The sequence below is a fragment of the Homo sapiens genome (assembly GCF_000001405.40).
Source record: "Homo sapiens chromosome 16 unlocalized genomic scaffold, GRCh38.p14 Primary Assembly HSCHR16_RANDOM_CTG1".
Classification (NCBI taxonomy): domain Eukaryota; kingdom Metazoa; phylum Chordata; class Mammalia; order Primates; family Hominidae; genus Homo; species Homo sapiens.
This window is the reverse complement of record NT_187383.1, coordinates 11,947-31,664: the sequence shown is the minus strand read 5'-3', so window position 1 is coordinate 31,664 and position 19,718 is coordinate 11,947. Positions and strand designations below refer to the sequence as shown.

The following is a 19,718-nucleotide window of genomic DNA, read 5'->3' as shown; positions in this document are numbered from 1 at the left end:
AACATCATACTTGATGTTAAAAGACAAAATGCTTTCTACCTAAGATCAGAAATAAGACAAAGATGTCTGTTCTCACGACATCTATTCAACATGGTAAAAAAAAAGCTGTTAGCTAGGAAATTAGGCAAGAACATAAAAGTATTAGTGATTTTAAAGCAAATACACACATAGCACCCAGGCATAAATACAAAAGCAGACTTTTCACTGCACATAAAGGTGGATACACGCAGACAAAGACACGCAAGCTTGTTAACTGTCAGAGTTAGCAGCTGAAACACATAAATAAATGCTCAGAGAGACACCCAGTTTAGACCTCTGCTCTCTTTACCACACTCTCCTCCCACATTAGCAGTAACCACTATCTTACACATTGTTTATTTTACTTGTATTATATATTTATTTTTTCCTAGAATATCAGCTTCAAGTGGGCAGAATTATTTGTTTTGTTTTAGTCATTGCAGCACCTCCTAGAACATCTGCTACACAGGGCAAGATTAATACATAATAAATCACTGGGCTCAAATTCACACAACTATACACAGTGCTTTTCCATGAACCTCATCATAGGCCCATATAAACTTGATTTGCACAAAATGAGTTTTTCTTAACTCGATCTTATGTGGCAGGGTGGTGTCTTCTGAACTCCAAACAAATTCCTAAAGGTTAGCTTACTCAAATGAATTGAAAATGTAAGTCCACACAAAAACCTGCACAAAAAAGTTTACAGCAATATTAATTGTAGTTTTCACAAAACTTGGAAGCAACCAAGATCATGTATTCACCAAGGTCAGAGGTACAAAATTATTATACAAAAATCAATTCTACTTCTATACACTTGCAATGAAATATCTAATAATGCAGTTGAGGCAAAAACAAATCCATTTACAATAGCAATTAAATAATAAATCATAGAAATAAATTTTTAAAAATGTGAAAGGAACTTATAATCTGAAAACTACAAACCTTATCGAAAGAGGTTGAAGATCTAAATAAATGAGAAACCATTCCATGTTTATGAATCAGTAGGTTTAATACATTATGATGACAATAACTCCCCAAACAGTCTACATCCAGTACAATTAGATTCAGTACAATTAGAATTCAAGGTGACTACCATGTAAAAACTGAAGCATTGATGCTGAAATTCATATAAAATTAAAAGGGACTAAGAATATCTTTAAAAATCTTTAAAAAGATGCCAAATAAAAGGACTCACAAATTACAACTTCAAAATTTGCCTCAAAGCAACCTTAATCAAGATGGTGTAGTAACGACACAAGGAAAGTCATTTAGATCAATGAAATACAACTGAGAGCCCAGAGAGAGTAAAATCAGCAAAATGTCAAGAATGTACAGCTCCAAACACCTGCTCCTCCACAGAAACAGGGAAAACCAAGCAGAACTGTCAGAAACGATGTTGTAAAACCTGTTGAAAACCATCAAGTTGTACAGCAACCATGTAACTACAAAATCAAGAAAAACAATGAAGAACAGGAGAAAAGCCTCGTGGACTTTTTACACGTCCTTGCCCAAATCCTTCCCTTACTTGATGGCAGTCTTAAAAACAACATCCTGAGTTGCCAGTATGGGCCTCTGCTCAGTGGTTCCAGAGGGAAAAGAGGAGGTCTTACTTGCAAAGTATTGTGTTGTTACATTAAAATCTGTATTAGGGCTATCCAGAGGTCTGAAACAAGGCTCTCTTTTTTCTCTAAGTCAGAAAAAAAAATCAGTTTAAAAAATTGGCACGAGTTACTTGGGAGTATTTTAAGGAAACTGAAAGCCAGCAGCCCCCTGGAGAACAGATTACAGACGACACATACAATAGGTCACATAAAGCCAAGAATAAAAAGCTAACGTGAGATTTTGTTTTGTTTTACAAATTAGGCTATTAAAAAGCACCCAGGTATGCTGGCAAATTGACAAAGCACTCTGTGCATAACCACGAAAAACACATTTTCTTAAAGACCCAAGAAGACCCTCATTTTCAGCACTGGCTGACCTTCAGGCTCAGCTCAGCAGAAAGTGAAGACTGAAGCAAAGTTTTCAACAGTCTGCACATGTGTTAAAGGAACGCCCCAGCCCAGAGCCATCCACAAAAACTGGAAGAATCCGTCAGTTTGTCTTTGTCTCAGTTTTGTCATATAGACCTTTGTGACACACAGATCTATATACAATGGAAACTACAAATTTCTAATGAAAGAGCCATGAAAGATCACAAAAGATCTTAATAAATAGAAAGACATTTAATGTGCATGATCATAAAATCTCAATATTGTCAAGATATAATTTCTCCCCAATTTGAGTTATAGGCAAGAGAGTCACATCATCTAGGTGATTGGCCAAACATATGTCACAATCCCTTCCATTGACAGCTCCCAAAAAAGGAGTTACATCACCTAGGTGCTCAGCTCTGAGATGTGTCACAACATTGCCCAATACAGGCAGGCCACAGGCGGGAGAGTCACATTTCCTGGGTGCTTGGCCCAGTGGTATGTCACATTTCCTTATGTAGGAAGGGCACACGTAGCAAGAGAGAGTCACATTACCTAGGTACTGTGCTAGAGCTATCAGTCTCTGTGTCGTTCAATGTGAGAGTTATGATCTCTTTAGACATCCATGTAACAGAGCCTCAACTCCTTCATCCTCAGATGTAAAGGCTAGTGAAGACCAAATAAGCCTTGAAAGGTAATTCCCCTAAAAAGGCAGAATGTCTTAGGCTTTGGCCTCTCCCCTTCAAGCACAATGAGATCATAACCTCTCTTTTGACTTCTCACTATGCCCAGCACTGGAACAAAGCTCCTGACTCCACACCCTCACCTTTCCACCCTTGTGCCTTCACTGGGCAGACAAGAGATGAGAAGACCTGAACTCTGGGACAGTCTGGGGAGAAAAGAATCCAAAAAGGGTTGAGGCGGCAAGGGCTGAGCTCCCACGGGTGCCCCGGCCCAAAGGTGCAGGTCCAGGCTGTTTTCCAGGTGGCATTCAGTGCAGGTTCTTCAATGCCACTGGAAGGCATGAAAAACCCACTGTAGCTGCTGCTGCTTCCTTTTCTTAAGCTGTGAAAATGCAAACACTTTTTCAAGGTTTTCAGATATGCCCAGGTACCCCCAACTGAAAAGGAGGATAATGGCATTGTTCATCATGGCTTATTGTCTTGCCCAGGCAGGAGCCAGCCCCTGACTCGCCAATCCAGCTGCCCCAGGCTGGAGGTGATCCTTTCGAGCCTCCTCCCTGCAACTCCACTCCTCTTTTTTCTCTTCCTCAACCACCGGCATACTTTTGGTCATCCTCCTTGTTGTCACAATGGGGGCGTGATGCCATAAAGACCTGGGAACCCCAATGATCTCAGGTCCCGCAGGGGTCAGGTGAGCATATAGGAAGTCCAGAAGGACAGTCATCTGCCACCTCCAGTTGAAAAAGAACAAAACCCTCGCACTCCAGAAATGAGTCAAGAACCCAGCGAAGGCCACAGGTCTAGCCCACAACCACCTAGGTATGTGGGGTCCTCCAAGGCTCACGCTTGTGTCCTGCAGGCTGGAGCCCATGCGAGGGTCTGCAGTCTTTGTTCCGGATGGGGAACTACTGCTTCAGCTGGTTACCCAGGTGTCCCCGATGGGGAAAGGAAGGAAATGGTGAGAATCTTCAGCACAACGGATCACATCACCCTGGCAGAGACCAGTCCGGCCTGCGCATGGCACCAGCAGCCGCAGGCTAGAGGCAGTCATGTCAGGCCTCCTCCATACAGCATCTCTCCTGCTTTTTTTTCAAACGGCCCTAATCACTTAATTTGGTCATCTTCCCTGTCACAATGGGGCACCTGGCGCTATAGACACTTGGGAAACACACAGATCTGGGGTCCTACAGTGTCCAGGTGAAGACGCCGGGAGTCAGAGAGGAAAGTCTTTTGAAGCCTCCAAAAGGAATGCACAGGACCCCACTTGAAGAGGTGGAGTGCCCAGTGGCGGATACAGGCCCCACACATCGCAGCAGTAAACAGGTAAGGCGCTCCCTGGCCCATGCCTGTTTCCTGGAAACTGAAGCCATGCCCAGGCTGGGAGTCACCATTCCAGAAACAGAATAAGCTGTTGGGCTGGCTACCTCACCCAGCACCCGGCCACGCCAGAGAGAATCTTGGATGCTGCTTTCCCACAGGCTGTAGTGCCTTCCAAGTTAGGCCACCCTAATAACAGTTCTCCCACAGGGACTCCACGGTGTCCAGCTCTCCAGCCTGGGGTTTCTCATCACCCAGTGATTCCAAAAGAAACGATCTACAATGGCATGACTAAGTTCCAGAAACAAATAAACAAAATACTGAGGGAAGCCCGTTGGTCACTTTGATTCTTCAAAGGTGACAATTGTCCCTCCCTGAAATCTTGTGAGTGCATGAACAGGCTATTCTAATGTAAATGAAATTCACACTAAAACTGATTGAAAGATGATTCTGTTTCCAAGGTACTTTGTATTCTCAAATTGCACCTGCTTACCCTGGCCCCCTCAAAATGGAAGAGTGATGACTATTTGTCTTCGTAGCACTGTGGGGACACAGAGCCTTAAATGGAAGAGTGTCAAAAGCAACATTCCATAAAGGGCTGTCACTTCCAATTTTCAAGCAAGGTTGGAAACCAACCATGATGTATGAAACACTGTTGGCCAAAGTGCACAATTAGTAATACAAAATGAATAATATAAACTATTGTAAATATGTGTGGACATCGTGGCAATTTGGACATCAAAAAACACTGCCAAATTCAGAAAGAGGAAGCTGTAAACTCATGGCTGTTAGGAAGCTTAACTTCTGTGTACTAGAACCTATCAAAATTAAATTTCTCCATGTCAATCCGTCCAAACAAACATTGAGATGTTTATTTCTATATAATTCCTATTGAATCCTACTGGGCAGGACCCTTCTGGCCCCATCCTCACAGCACTGGTGCAGTGAAACTGCACTTGCTCCTGCTTCCCCCTATATTGTTAGGAGTGGAAATATTTAGTAACAGGGTGGATTGGGAGGCTACTGAGGCCTCCTGCGTGGGTGGGTCAGGTCTCCTGCAGCCCAAACCTTTTTACAATAAATAAGTTATAGGTAAAATTAGAAAAAAATTAAAAAATGGAACTCATTCTGTTTCTTTGCTCACCACAAAGAGAAACACAGCATCTAGAGATGTCTGTTGGAGCCAGGCTTGTCCTGGGAAAGTAAGAAGTGCTGAGCAGGAGCCCTGGGGATGGAGGGCAGGTGAGATGGGGCTCCCAGGAAGATGCAGCCAAGCCTGGCTCACTCAGGCTGGCAGGGGCCCTCTGAAGTCCAGGAAAGTTGGTCCAGGACACTGAAACTCAAGTGACTCATCTGGGCCAAAGATCTGACCAGGTCGCACTGAATCTCATCAGCCCTGCCAACTGGAGGTCTGATCAGCCTTGAAGATCTTGCTCACTGGAGGCAGACAGCTGGTGGATGGGTCAGGAGAGCTGCCTACTGCCAATGTAGGAGTGCACTCAGTGTAGGCCCGCTGCCCCACTCAGTGGCCTGGATAACCTGCTGAGGCTGCAGCTTCTTCCAGTTTTTGAGCAATAGGGGCATGCACCATTTCCGAAGGTTTTCAGGCAATCCCTGGTGACCTCTGGCAGGGGGTGGTTATCTTGGCAATCTCCAGCAGGGCCTATGGACTTGCTCCCAGGCAAAACCCAGCAATCCCTGTGCCTACCCAGGCACTAAGCATTTGTGGTGGGGCTTTCTGGAAGCTCGCCTTCTCCTGCTGGCTCTTCGTTTTCCCCACCCCGGTACTTCTGGCCATTCTCCCTGTCATCATCACAATGAGACAGCTGGGTGCTGGAGACTCAGAAACTGCCATGCAGACCTTGAGTCCTTCCCAGGCCCAGCCAACAGGGCAGAGAATCCAGGAGAAAAGTCATTTTCACCTCCTGAAGGACCAGAGCTGACCAGGCACCTAGAAGCTGTGCCCCACTGCAGGCTGCCGGTGGAGCTCATGACAAGGCCGGAACAAGGCCGGAACGTGAAGCACTCCCTTGTCTGTCCTTTTTTCCTGAAGGCTGGGGCTTGCCCGGCCAATGTCACCCTTCAGGACAGGGAATCAGAGCTTTGCATGGCTGCCTTACCCCACCAGGGCAACGCCACAGAGAATCATGGCTGAGGCTTTCCTGTGGGCTGCAGTGCCTGACCCTTTAGGGTCCCCACAAAAACACCTTTCCTGCAAATAATCCACCGTGTCCTGCTTGCCAGCCTAGGCTTCCTCATCAGTTGGTGATTTCAATGAAAACAAACTACAGTGGAATGAACAAGTTCTAAATCAGGAACACACAAAGAATCTGTGGAAAGTCCATTTGTCATCTAGATTTTTAAAAGATACACATTTTCCCTTCTTGTTATATTCAGTAGTGCATGAAGCCAATATTATAATAGATGTGCAACTCACACTAAAGCTGACTAAAGGGTGAATTCTTATTCTAAGGTACTTTGTGGTCTCAAATTTATCTGTTCCCACCCCCAGGACCCCATTAAAACTGAATAATTGTCATTGAGAGCAGATGTAGAAAGAAACTAGCTAGGCAGATAGAGCAAAGAGTTCTCAACAGAACGTCCCTTCTAACAGAAAGCAACCCAGGAATTCACTTCTCTTTAACAAAGAGCAGCCTGGAAAATTGGGCTGCAATCATACAAAAGGAAGCTGGAAGCTTGTGTGGGCAGGGATGCCTGCAGCTGCATGGGTAGAAATGACCACCTTGGGCCAGACATATCCAACATGGGGGGCCCCACCCCTCTTTGTAGCATATGCACAGTAGAAAAGAGATAAGCAACTTGGAGTAGCTCAGGCTGAGAATCTGCCTGCATAATAAAAGGTTGGGGTGTGAGCTGCCAGAGATTCATGCTCTAAGCAGATGACACACCTGGTCCTAACCACTTTTTCATGCCCTATGTGGATAACATACCCCCTCCCACTAGCTCATCTATAAAAACACTTGTATTTCACTGCAGAATGGCAACTCTTTTTTTCTGGATCCCTCTCTGCAGCAGAGAGCTGTTCTCTTTTTCTCACCCATTAAACTTTTGCTCTAACCTCACCTTTGGCATATCTGTGTCCTTGGTTTCCTCGGTCCTGACACCAAGAAGTTCAGGTGTAACCCCAGAAGACACGGCCAGTTTATCATGACTTGTCTCATTGCCTCTTGGGACATAGAAACGTCAATGAAAATGTGTCCAAAAGGACATTTCATAAAGTGCTCTCTCTTCCAATCTTCAAGCAATGTGGGACTATCCATCATGTACAAAAAACTTGTGGCTGAAATGCACAATTTCTAATACAAAAATGAATGCTATAAATTACTCTATGTATGTGTATTATGGCCATTCAGACATCGTCACACATTGCCACATTTAGATAGAAGAACCTGTGAACTTGTGGCTGTTAGGAAGCTTAACTTGTGCATACTGTCACCTATGAAAGTTAGTTTTCCCTGCGTTTCTTGAAACCAACCTTGAAATGTCCATCTTGTACACAATTTCTATTTATCCCCAGTGAGGTTCACCCATCTGGCCCCGCCCTTACAGCCCTGGTACCAATGGAATTGCACTTGCTTATGCTTCTTCAAATTTTCTTGAGGTCATAAACATTTAGTGACAGAGTGGAATGAGAAGGTACTGAAGCAAGGGCTGATGCCTTCTGGGTAGATGGGTAGAGATCTCCTGCAGCCTGGACATCTTCAAAATAAGTAGGTTATAGGTCAATTTAGAGAAAAAAATAATACTCTTTCTTTGAACACCACAAAGAGAAAAGCGCTGGATCTAGATGTGTCTGTGAAGCCAGGCTTGTCCTGGGAAAGTGAGAAGAGCTGAGCAGGAGCCCTGGCAATGGAGGGTGGGTGAGATGTGGTCCCCACGGAGAGACCGCTAGGGTCAGGGCTTGGTACAGTGAGGCTGGCAGGGACCTTCGGAAGGCAAGGGAAGATGGCCAAGGACACAAGGCTGAAGCAACCCATCTGAGCCAAAGATCTGTTTAGGTCCTTCTGAATCTCAGCAGCCTTGCCAAGGAAGGCATGATTACCCATGGGTATCAGAGACACTGGAGGCTGGCAGCTGGCGGGTGGGCCAGGAGGCCTGACTACTGCACAGGTGTGATTTCACTGGCAGGCCAACTGCAGGGAGTGGATAAAGAGAGAGCTCTGTGTGGGAATCTCTCTCGGTGGATCATCGAAGAGGTGAAGTCTTCTTCATAGCCTCAAACCCAATTTGTGGGATAGCAATTCCAGTGAAGCTGGGACAAGCTGGCACTGCTCAACCAGGCCTCCCAAGATACCAGGTTTCTTTCCACCACAGCTGGGCCTGGATTGGGATGTGAACATCTATCCCAGAGTCCAGAGGATGGGACCCTGGTCAGTGATGGTGCTGGTGTGTGGTGTGAAGCCAGGTAGGGCAGACTCTTCAGGTGGGAGGAGAAGACAGCCTCTCCTGTGGGCTCCTGGGCAAGTCAACACCCTCTTTGGGCCTGTCTCCTCAACTGGAAAATGCAGAAAGCCTGTTGTGCAGGCCTCACAGGGTCATGATAAGGGGCAAAGGATGAAGGAAACTTCAGAATTCTTGTGCCCACCTCTTCCTGAGAGGGATGATGGTGAGAACAATGGTGATAGCCACATGCAACTGAGTCCTCAGGAGGTACTGTGAGGAAGGTGTTGTTCTCATCACACTTCCTAGATGAAAAAACAGTTTCAGGAAGGCCTGGCTGCATGCCCAAGGTTACACACACAGTGAGTGTTAAAGCTGGGAGTAAATCTAGAATCAGGACTCACTGGAGCTGGTGGGAGCATTACACCGGCTGACTCAGGCAGTTATCCAAGATCTGAGGTCGCTGGGGCTGGAGTGTAACTGTGAGACAGGCACAGTCTCACTGACCCTGTTTCTGACTCTACTAGGTAGGAACCTTTTTAAAGAGTCCAGATGGGGCTGCAGCAGCAGGTGAATTGGCCTATGGTAGGGAGGGGCTCCAGAGAGTCAAGGACAGGGCTCCTCCCTCCCAGCTGGAGTTCTCCACATCAAGAGACCTGGGTGTCTTCCTCCTCCAGCCCTGCCCTCCTGTGGCCACAATGCTTGGAATGCCTTCATTAGAGAGACTAGAGAAAGGGCCTGGGAGAGCTAGGCTCAGAGTAGATTAGACGAAGAGTGAGGGTGGGGACGATCTGACTTTGTGATTTATTAAAATCACACCATAGAGGTAACTAAGAAGTGCTTAGCGTCTTTGGAGGTCAGCTGTGGAAAGAGGAGGGAAAGATTTTGGGCAAGGAGGTGAAAGGTCCTTGGATGCTCTGAGTGAGAGACTTGGGTACGGGGGTCAAGGAGAAATAGGTTGGTGAGAGTTCAAAGGAGAGGTCTTGTGCAGTTAGCTGAGAATTGGTGCTCATCACTGCTACCACCTTGATAACACAGGCTGCTGTGCCCCCACTCCCCTCCCCCCCACCCCCCACCCCGGGCACACTTCTCAACAACCTGCAGATGCTGGAAATTGCCATAGAGGATTATAGAGATGTGAGTGAGACTGGGGCAGGCAGGCAGGGTGGGGACCAGGATCCTGAAGCTTGCGAGGACAGAGTCCTGGACTGAATCCTGAGACTGCAGCACTCAGCAAACCCCTTTCCTGAGAGCCTACCAGATGCCCCTGTAAATGGCAGTGTCAGTTCCGTCTTATCTATGAGTGACGGAGCCTCCAGCAAAGACACCATTTCCTGTTCCTTGAGTAGTAAAGCTGCAGAGCTAAGTCTCAGCCTCTGCCTTAGCTGGTACCCATTGCAGAAGAGAGAAATTGGGCCCCTCCTAAGACAGGCAGGTCCTAAATTGTTGAGTAACTTCTTTGTTTCCAAGGCCTTTGTCTCCCTATCATCACAGAGAATCAGGGAGAAAGGTCACTGAGCCTCAGTGTCCCTTCTGTGGAGCCCAGAACCTGATGCAGGTCTAAGTCCTGTTTTATGCACATGCTCTGACCCTGGTGGCCCTGGTGGTGGTGCAGCATAGGAAGTATAAGGGATGAGGTCTAGTCCTGTGTCAGGAAGCCTTTCTCATGAATCTTGGCTGTCTACCTCCTAAGAACATATAATCAACACTAATAAAGGAAGAAGGTGAGCAGCTGGCGCTGTCGCTTTGAGGGAGGGTGGGGATGTGAAAGTCAGACACCACCCTGAGGAAGACACTCCTTGGCTCCATCCTCTGCATCTTAGATTTATTGGGAAGGTTTGATACACAGAGAAGCAGGAGCCCCATCCCAATGGAGGGTTTGATTAGGGGAATAGAATCAATGATAAACTCCTAGAGGAGGGACTGTTTATATCCAACTCTTGAGAACAGGTTGGGGCTACATGGGATTGGAGGGGAGGGTAGGACCCCTTAAAAGAAAGGCCCTAGAAATTGTCCCTACCCCTTCACACCCCCACAAGTTCCCTTTGTCATCTTCCACCCAGGACCTGTCAGAATCCTGCCCTTCCTTCTGTCTCCAGATCAAAGTCCTCCAGGAAATGCAGCTGCTTCAGTGACAAGAGATAATCGTCATCTTCTGACTGAGGAGGAATTTGGGGTTTGGTTCCAGTGCATGAAGCTGCACAGTCAGAATAAAAGATGAGGGCCTAGCAGATTAGCAAAGACTAGGAGAAGACTCTATCTTGTGGCCAGCTTCAGAGAACCTGGGGCCATAGCTCCCTGGTCAACATTAGGCCTGCTGCATGGGGACCCTGGGCAGGCAGTGGGAAGCCTGAGGTGTGGCTCCTGGTAGCCTCACAGCTGCCACTATTTTCTGAAGCTCCTCCTACTTGTTTTGTCAGACGGGCCCCTATTCCAGCAGGCCAGCAACACCCTCAAGACCAAGAACAGGCCATGGTGAATCTCAGGGCCATTGAGTGCCTGGGCTGGCAGGGGCAGAGTGCCTCAGGGCTCAGTGACATTTGGCCTGAGTGTTGGCTTTGGGAGTCAGACAGCTGCACTGGGCTCCCAGCTTCACCATGACCAGTAATGTGTCTGGGGCCGGGGCCTCACTGCTCTAAAACTTGAGACACCATAGTGATAAATTTTACACACCCTTCTAACTGCTTTTTCTTTTTTATCTGTCTTTCTCTATAATCACCATGTACTACTGATCTCTGTTTATTTAAATTAATAAGCATGTTATACAGTGTGTATTATTCTTCCTCGTGACTTCTTTACTACATTGTATGATTCCACTCATATGAGGTACTTACAGTAGTTCCATTCATAGAAACTCAAAGTAGAAGAGTAGTTCCTAGAGGCCAAAAGGAAGGTAACGGGAACAGAGTTTGAGTTTTGCAAAATGAACAAATTTCCCTATGAATGTGGATGATGGTTGTAGAACAATGTGAGTATGATTAATTCCTCTGTCCTGCACTTTTAAAAATTGTTAAAATGGTTAATTTTATGTATATTTTACCACAATGTAAAAAAGGACTTTTTTAAATGAACAAACTGTAGATATCTGTAACAGCATAAATATCACAAATATAATATTGCATTAAAAAATTGATGTAAAAGTATCCATACTGTGTAATTTTTTATATTACACTCAAAAATCAAAACTGAGGTTCTGGCTTCCACTAATGATGAAGTAGCTAACTGAACTAACACTCTCACACAGAAAAATGATGAATCCTGGGTAAATTATTATATATCATTATAGAAACATTTCTATATACAATACATACATGAAATATGTGTATATAAAAACTGAATGCATATTTTGGCTATGACTTCCATAGGAGAGATAAGTATTGAAGATAGAATCCAGCCCATTTAACACCATCTTTTAAAAACAACACTCTTCACAGGGACAAAACAGAATCCAGTCTTTTTAATCCAGTCTTGTATACAGTCTCCAGGGCACAATTTCCAATTCAAGGGATGCGTGAAGACACGTGAAAATGTAATAAATACACAAGATAAAAAGCAGGCAGTAGCCATCTCCAAGATGTCCAAGATGTAAACGGCAGACAAGAATTTGAAGGCAGCTATTATAAACACGCTCATGAGGGCAAAGGAAAATATTCTCATAAATGAATAGATGTGAAACATCAGCAGAGAAAAAATAGCCATATAAAAAATGAGAAATAAAAATAATAATTTTGAGCTTTTCTATAGTTCAGAAACAGAGACATAGCAATATAATTTATCCAATCTGAGGAGAGGAAAAAAAAAAGAAGTTTAAAGAAAATGAACAGAGCCTTACAGACCTGTGGGATGACTGAGTCTGAGAAAAGGTGAGAGATAGAAAAAATCAAATGGAGTATAAAAGTAAATCAACAAAATTTAAAGAAAATAAACACAGCCTTAGAGACCCATGGAATTATTGAGCCTGAGGAGAGGAGAGAGACAGAAGAATTAGATGGGTTGGAAAAATAAATCAATAACTAACAGCTGCAAACTTGCAAAAATTGTTCAAAAACCTATTTTTTTTTTTTTAATCTAAAGATCCACGAATCCCCCACAAAAGTACAAATAAAACCATACCAAGGCCATATTGCAATTTAGGAAAGCAGCAGGCAGGACTTTCAATTGACTTGATATGATTTATCATTTTTACTATTTGTAAGAATGGAAATAAGTTCTTAGAGTTTTGGTCTTGGAGAAAGTCTGACGTTAAGGACAAACGACAGTTATTAAAGGCAGATGACTTTCCAGACTTGTCTTAAATGTTCCATTCTTCACCTTAGAACTTATTTAAATTTGTTTCTTCCAAATACTGCAGTAATATTGATGCTCCAGAGAGATGTCCCACGGAGATTCTGCTCTTGTGCGTCTGCCCTGCACGGAGCTGAGGCAGTGTCTATCAGTTTCAGAAGCGAGTAGTCGTGCAGTACTTAACCTGAAAAACTTAATGGAAACATGAATTAAGAGAATGATCACTGTTTAGTTCTATCAGAAAACTATTAAAAGTGGTCCAAGGGGGTATTTAAAAAGAGATATTAAAGTATTTTCCAAGGGAGCCCTATTCAGGGTAGAAGCGCAGACACTATCCCTGACCTCACCACACAAACTACCCTCATGTGTTGGGAGGGACCAAGGGGCGCTCTGGTCCTGCTGACCTGCATTAATCACGGCCCGGAGGTCCACACTAAGACCCTGAGGCCTGGGAAGCAGCCTGGGTGGGGTCAGAGAAGCGGTGGATGAGGCTCCACAGCAGCTCCCAGGGTCCCATCCCCGTAGCTGTTTCCTTAGTGGATGCAGCAGGGTCAGGCCCTTCCGCTGTGACGTTTTCTCCTCTTTATTACACTGGTGGGAAAGTCTCCGTGAGAGGCCCGACCTAGATATGGACCACGCAGCGAGCCCGGGGGTCCAAGCGGCGCTCCTGGGGTGCAGAGGATTTGTGACAGCCTAGAGAACAGAGGAAATGGTTTTGAAAAGGCAAATGGCAGGTGACTAGGGACACGATGTTTTCACTTCTGGCAGTCAAGTGACAGTTTCAGACACTCATGAACGGGCTTCTCGAGGGGATCCCAAGGAGCCTCCAGGTCGGCCGCCATTACCCTACACCTAGGGACGGGCTGCACTGCGCATTTCCGAAAGGGCAGGCCCCTTAGCCCCACCCCTAGGAATGGGTGCACTGCGCATGTGTGAAAGGGCAGGACTTTTATCCCGCCGCTAGGGACGGGCTACACTACCCATGTCTGAACGGGTGTGACAAGAGGGAGGAGCGAGAAGGGACGGGGCGGAGCGGGAGATGGGCAAGAATAGCGGCGCGGTGCGGCCAACGTCCGGCGGAGGATCGTTACCACGGCAACGCTGCTGTGGAGGCCATGAAAGGCGAACGGCCCTTTGTTGGCTGACAGGAAATCGAGACACTCGTGAGGGGGCTTCTTGAGGCGATCCCAGGAGGCCTGAGAACTGCCACATCCGCGGCCCTTAACCCAGCCCTAGGGACGGGCCGCACTGCGCATGTCTGAAAGGGAGTGACAAGAGGAGGAGCGAAGGAGGGTGGGGCTGAGGAGGAGGCGGGGTGAGAAAAGGGGCGGGTCGCGCCCCACCCTTGTCTGAGGAGCGTTACCTTGACAACCCTGCCGCGGAGGCAGTGAGAGGCCACCGGCCCTTTGTTGATCTGCAAGGTATCAAACTTCGAACATGACAAGCATAAAAGCCTGCAGCTCGAGGAGACAGGGTGTCACAATTACCAGGTGAAACTAGCCGCCCTAGCTCCAATGTCTCTTCAGCAGGAGAGATTTGGAAACAGCAAGGCTCCTCTCCGCAGGGCGAAACTGCTGGGCTGCGAAAGGCGGGACAGGGAGCGGAACCGTCTTCAACCGTTCCGGGAGTTCTGGTGTCTGGTCCGCTCCCGGCTGTTGGTCGCAGGGCAGAGGGTCTAGGATGCCAGCTGGCTGCGGGCTGGGAGATGCAGGGTGAGGCGCGCATCGCGGTGCATACTGGGAGTTGTAGTCTCTCCACCGTTCCCCACGGTGGATGGTGGGGCTACAGGAGGACAATCCCAGATTGAGACAGGAGCGGAGGCGGGGCGCGGCCGTGCAGGGAGGGGGAGGGCGGTGTAGGCGGCTTCGTTTACCAAGCTTGCTGGCCATTGATTTCATGCCAAACCCTCGCCAAGGGGATTAAATCAGGAGAGGAACTTGAAGGGCAGGCCTGGTCTCGCCAGTGAGGAGGATGTGTTGTTGGGAAGTGCACCCCGCCTTTGCCTAAATCGAGAGTGTCTGGTCCTCACTCACGCGACTTCGACTTCCAGCTGCTCAGCTCGATTTTCTTTCCCACTCGCACCCGAGTTCTTTCCAGAGCGTCCCACCTCCTCCAGCCCATGGAGCCGTCTGCTTTCATAAGTGGCTGTGGAAACTGGTCTGAGGTCCCAGACGCTGTCACTGTGCTGCTGCCCTCCGCTCTCTCCAAGCAAAGCACAAGCTGAGCCGCCTTGGAAAGACAACCACGGCCTGGCCTGGGAATGCGCAAGTTCAGAGCTTTGCAGGGAGTGACCATGGGCTGTGGCTTCGTGAAAATGTCACGTTCACCAGTACCCTTTTTGCGGATGTGGCCGTGGAGCCATGAGGGGGGTAATCACTGGGTTACAAAGGTGCTGCTAAGAGCGGAGGAGAAAAACCCAATTCCCAGCCATGTGTCTGGTATGACATTTCACCAACCCATTTAAGTGTGCAGGCCTCCAAATATCTACCTAAAGATTATGATAGATTAGGCATTTTACACTAAAAATCTGTGGCTTCGTGTCCACTAAAGCCTGACTGGCCAGTGCCTAAAAGAAACAGACGATAACCTGATCCCTCAGGAACAGATGGTGTTCTAGCTTTGTGGAAGTGAATTTCAAGGTATGGAGCACTTGAGGGGTCTTTGAAACCTGCCAGGTCTCACATCTCTGCTTTTGGTGAAAAGCTCATCAACTAACAGTAGTCAGGAATGTGCCTTTACTTCCTGGGGCTGGTCTGTTGAAATTTTGTGTGTGGACAATGGAAACATCCAGGAGCATTTCTGCTTTCCTATAGCCTCTTAATAATTGATGCCCTAAAGTCCTATATCCTTTGATTCCTGGATGGTACAGATTTCATGCTGTTAAATCTAATCTGCAAAAACCTGAGCGTTAATCTCCATGAATAGAAGAACTTGTTGTTTCTTATTTAAATGCTCTTTTTTCTCTTGTCTTAGATTCTGAGCAGGATTTCCAATACGGTGTTGAAAGAAGTAGTGAGAGTGGGCATCTTTTTCTTATAATAAATCTTAAAAACAATTCCAAAATTTCACCATTGACAATAATGTTAACCATGGGATTGTCCTATAGCTTATAAAGAACATATCTCTTTATTTTGAGGTATATTCTTTCTATACCTAATTTGTTATAGATTTTATTTGGAATGGATTTTAAATTTTGTCAAAATAATTTTAGGCATGCATAAAAAAGTCATGATTTTTAATCTTTTTGTTGTGTAAATAAGGAGTATGGCATTTATTGATTTCCACATATTAAAATATTATTGCATCCCAGGAATAAATCCAACTTGATCATAATAAATGATCCTTTTAAAGTGCTTTTGAATTTCATTTGCAACTACGTTGCGGATGATTTTTCATCTATGTTCATCAGGGATATTGGCCTGTAATTGTTTTTCTTGTAATGTCCATCTCTGGTTTTTGTATCAGTGTAATGCTGGCTTCATAAAATGAGTTTGGAAGTATTCCTCCTCCTTCAATTTTTTCAAAGATTTGGTTCTTTTTAAATGTTTAGTAAAATTCAGCAACAAAGTCATCAGATCTAAACTCCTTACCCATTACTGATCTATTCATATTTTCTATTTCTTTATGCTTCAGTCTTGGTGGGTGGTACTTGTCTAGAAATGTATTCATGTCTTCTCCCTTATCCCATTTGGTGGGATATCATTGTACATAGGAGTCTGTGTACATAGCAGTCTTATGACCTTTTTTTATTTCTGTTTTACCAGTTGTAATGTATTCCCTTTAATTCTGATTTTATTTATTTAAGCATTTATTTCTTAGTCTAGCTAAAGATATGCCAACTTCATGTTTTCATAAAACAAGCTCTTACAATTTTTCTACATTTTCTATTGTTTTTCTAATCTTCAGTGTATTCATTTCTGCTCCGATTTTTTTTACTAATTTTATTATCTGGGAACGTTGGGATAAGTTCTTCCTCCTCTAGTTTCTTGAGTTGTGTCATTATTTGTTTATTTGTGATCTGTTTTCTCTTTGGTTGAAGGTGTTTACTGCCACTCCATTTCACTGGGATTAGCACCCATATGCATTGTGGTCTTTTTGTTTGAGTTCATCAAACTTCTGATCCTAAGTCTGCACCTTTAGCATACTGGTAAGCAGCAGTGCTAAAAGCCTACACGATGAGTAGGGGATTTAGGATGAGAGAATTACCCAGTAAGTTTTGGGAGGGACTAATATTAAGTTATCTTTCTCTTTTTTATTTCTCATCAGTGCCTGAACCATAAGGCACAAGGAATGAGCCCCTCATCGTGAGAGTGCATGTGACAGGAGCAAAGGAAGCGGCAGCTCAGGAAAGACAAGGTCACTGTTCTTGCTCCCATGACGGTAGCACTTGTTAGAGCAACTGAGTGACGTGCATAATTCTCTCCAAAGTAAAAGTCCTTTTTGTTTTTTGCAATTTTACAAAAAACCGTCCCTGGGCCTTTCCTGAGAGTGTGCAATAATAAGCAATGTTCATATGACTACCCGGGCATTTAGTAATGGTAAGCAGACCAGATGAAGTGACCACAGGGATATAGCCTGACTCTTGGTAATCAGGACTGAAGTACTCACTGATTAAGGTTCTGTGTTTTCACTGCCTTGAAAGGCAAGTGTCTTGCAAGCTGCATGCCAAACAAAGGCTAAATATGATGACACATCAGGCTGCAGCAGAGTCAACTGACCATATATGTCTAGGTGATGAGTGTGCTTTAATGTGGTCAGGGAAGGCAACTCATGATAAAGGCCACAAATGGCTATTTAGACCAAAGCAAAAGCCCACCAGAAACTGGTGGCTCTGACTGAGGTGACTTTTAATGTATCATGAAATCAGTAGGCCAAAAGCAGTTAAAGTTGAGCCGATGTCCTTAGTCATAGTTGGTTAATCCAGTTTGTATTGTGAATTGTTTGATTAGCCTCCCCTTTACCCCATTGGTGAGGGATAAATTACCACCCTTGTACTACTGGAACAGTTAAAACCATGGCACCAATCATTGGACAAATGAGATTGACAGCAGTTATTCGTTACATATAATCATGGAAGAAGGAAATTATATAAGGTATACAGACCCACACAGGGATTGCACTTGGGAGCAGAGAGAACAAACAGGGGGTGTTGGGGAAGGCTTTGTAGTATCAAGAGGGTGAGATGCACCTGGTTCCCACAGGAAGTTGTTATTGGTTGGTCTGGATAATTCTGTGACCTTGGGAGAAACTGAAACACATTATACTACCAATTGCTAAGACTACAATAACATACTATAATAGTGTAATGCTATAATGTACCATATACTGTAATACTAATGACAGTATGTTCTCCCTTTTTTGATAGATTCTCAGAAACTGTGACTTTAAGTAAAACAATGTACTATATAATAAAACCAATTTTACCATTGGCTAATTGATATAAACAAGAGTTAATTTTCCATGGCATATAGTATTTTGTTTCACTTAAAGTCAGTTTCCAGGGACCTATCAATGATGTTAAGTGAGCACTTACTGAACATGTATTTTAGTGATGTGTAATAGAAAGTAGCTATAAAAAATATACTATTCATGTACAAAACTACATGTGGCACACATTACAGTCATGAACCACATAACAATGTTTGAGAAATTGACAGACTATATATATGAGGGTGTTTTCTTGTGAGTATATATATATATATAAACCTACCTTTAAAGGCCAAAGGAGCTGAGAGTTTGAAGAATGAGGCTGACAAATCAAGTTTCTCAGAAAGAAACATTTAAGAGGAACATTTATTAATAGAAGCTATGTCTCAGATAGCTGAAGATGGTGGAACCTCACACTGTGACCCCCTAAACCCAGACACTTATCACAGGAAAGGGAATGTGAAGGACAATTGAAATCACTATATAAATTTGCCTAAGGGTAGGATTTGTGCTAAGTACCTGTTCACAATAGCATCAGGGTTGTTTTGATTTAAGGGTAGGGCTTATAGAACTGTAGGTTTCAATATATGACATAGGTATTTGAAACCCTCACCAAAAAACATTAGAGGAAGTAACTCTGTCATCATTTTAAGTTTCTTTTTTTTTTTTTTAGTAATTTAAAATCTTAAAGTCTGGTTATGTTAAATTAAGTAATCTTAAGTTTCTCACTAAAAATTAGTATTGCTAAGCATTAAAAGAATAGTTTTAAGACAGTTTTTACCCCAGCACTAGTGATTGGATAATACGGCCCCAGGCCCCACCCCTTCAGGTTCTGAATGAGAGAAGATGTGAGCCAACTCGTAGCCAGATGACAACAGGGTAAAATGTTCCAAGCCGCAGCCTTTTTCAGGCAGGACTTCCTCCTTATGCTGAAGCCCGGCCTTCACTGTGGGATATTTGCATTTAACCTTGTATATAAGGTTATTTTTATTTATAAGTTGTATATATGTGGCCAGGCATAGTGGATCTCACCTTTAATACCAGCACTTTGGTAGGCTGAGGGGACAGAAGCTCTTGAATCCAGGCGTTTGGGACCAGCCTGGGCAACAGAATGTGAGGGCCCCACATCAAAACTTTTCTACAAAAAAATGAAAAAATTAGCCAGGCATGGTCACACGTGTCTGTGGTCCCAGCTACTTGGGAGGCAGAGGTGGGAGGGTCACTTAAGCCTGGGAGGTAGAGGCTGCAGTGAGCTGAGATCAGGCCACTGCACTGCAGCCTGGGTGACAGAACAAGATTCTCTCTTTCTTTCTCTGCCTTATTTGTGTGTGTGTGAAGGGGGAGGGGTGTGTGTGTGTATTATTCAAAATAGAAACAAAATAATAACAATTATTTTTATTTTTATTTACATTTTTTTGAGACAGAGTCTCACTCTGTCACCCAGGCTCGAGTACAGTGATGAGATATTGGCTCACTGCAACCTCCGCCTGCCAGGTTCAAGTGATTCTTCTGCCTCACCCTCCCAGGTAGCTGGGATACAGGCACCCACCATGTTGCCCAGCTAATTTTTGTATTTTTAGTAGAGACATGGTTTCACCATGTTGACCAGGCTGGT

General features: G+C 44.8%; 1 protein-coding gene and 1 long non-coding RNA gene across 4 annotated transcripts; one reads left to right on the top strand and one right to left on the bottom strand.

The window, feature by feature from the left end:
• The first annotated feature begins 246 nt into the window (after positions 1-246).
• On the top strand, positions 247-7,315 carry LOC124905329 (uncharacterized). Its single transcript, XR_007068544.1, has 3 exons — positions 247-2,685; positions 3,534-3,997; positions 4,202-7,315. It is a non-coding gene; the product is annotated as an uncharacterized LOC124905329 (long non-coding RNA).
• Positions 7,316-11,822: 4,507 nt separating this feature from the next.
• LOC102723655 (TP53-target gene 3 protein) lies at positions 11,823-14,469 on the bottom strand. 3 transcript variants are annotated; one of them, XM_017030124.2, is made up of 3 exons: positions 14,040-14,431; positions 13,081-13,369; positions 11,832-12,860 (listed from the first exon to the last, which is right to left on the bottom strand). In XM_017030124.2, the coding sequence occupies exons 1-2, from the start codon at positions 14,399-14,401 to the stop codon at positions 13,228-13,230; spliced, it is 504 nt and encodes a 167-aa protein (XP_016885613.1). In that variant the 5' UTR covers positions 14,402-14,431; the 3' UTR covers positions 11,832-12,860; positions 13,081-13,227. The 3 variants fall into 3 exon arrangements, with proteins under 3 accessions (NP_001355166.1, XP_016885613.1, XP_006724967.1); NM_001368237.2 differs by lacking the exon at positions 13,081-13,369 and having other exon boundaries at positions 11,823-12,868; positions 14,040-14,469; XM_006724904.4 differs by lacking the exons at positions 11,832-12,860; positions 13,081-13,369 and adding an exon at positions 13,869-13,934.
• Positions 14,470-19,718: the final 5,249 nt, after the last annotated feature.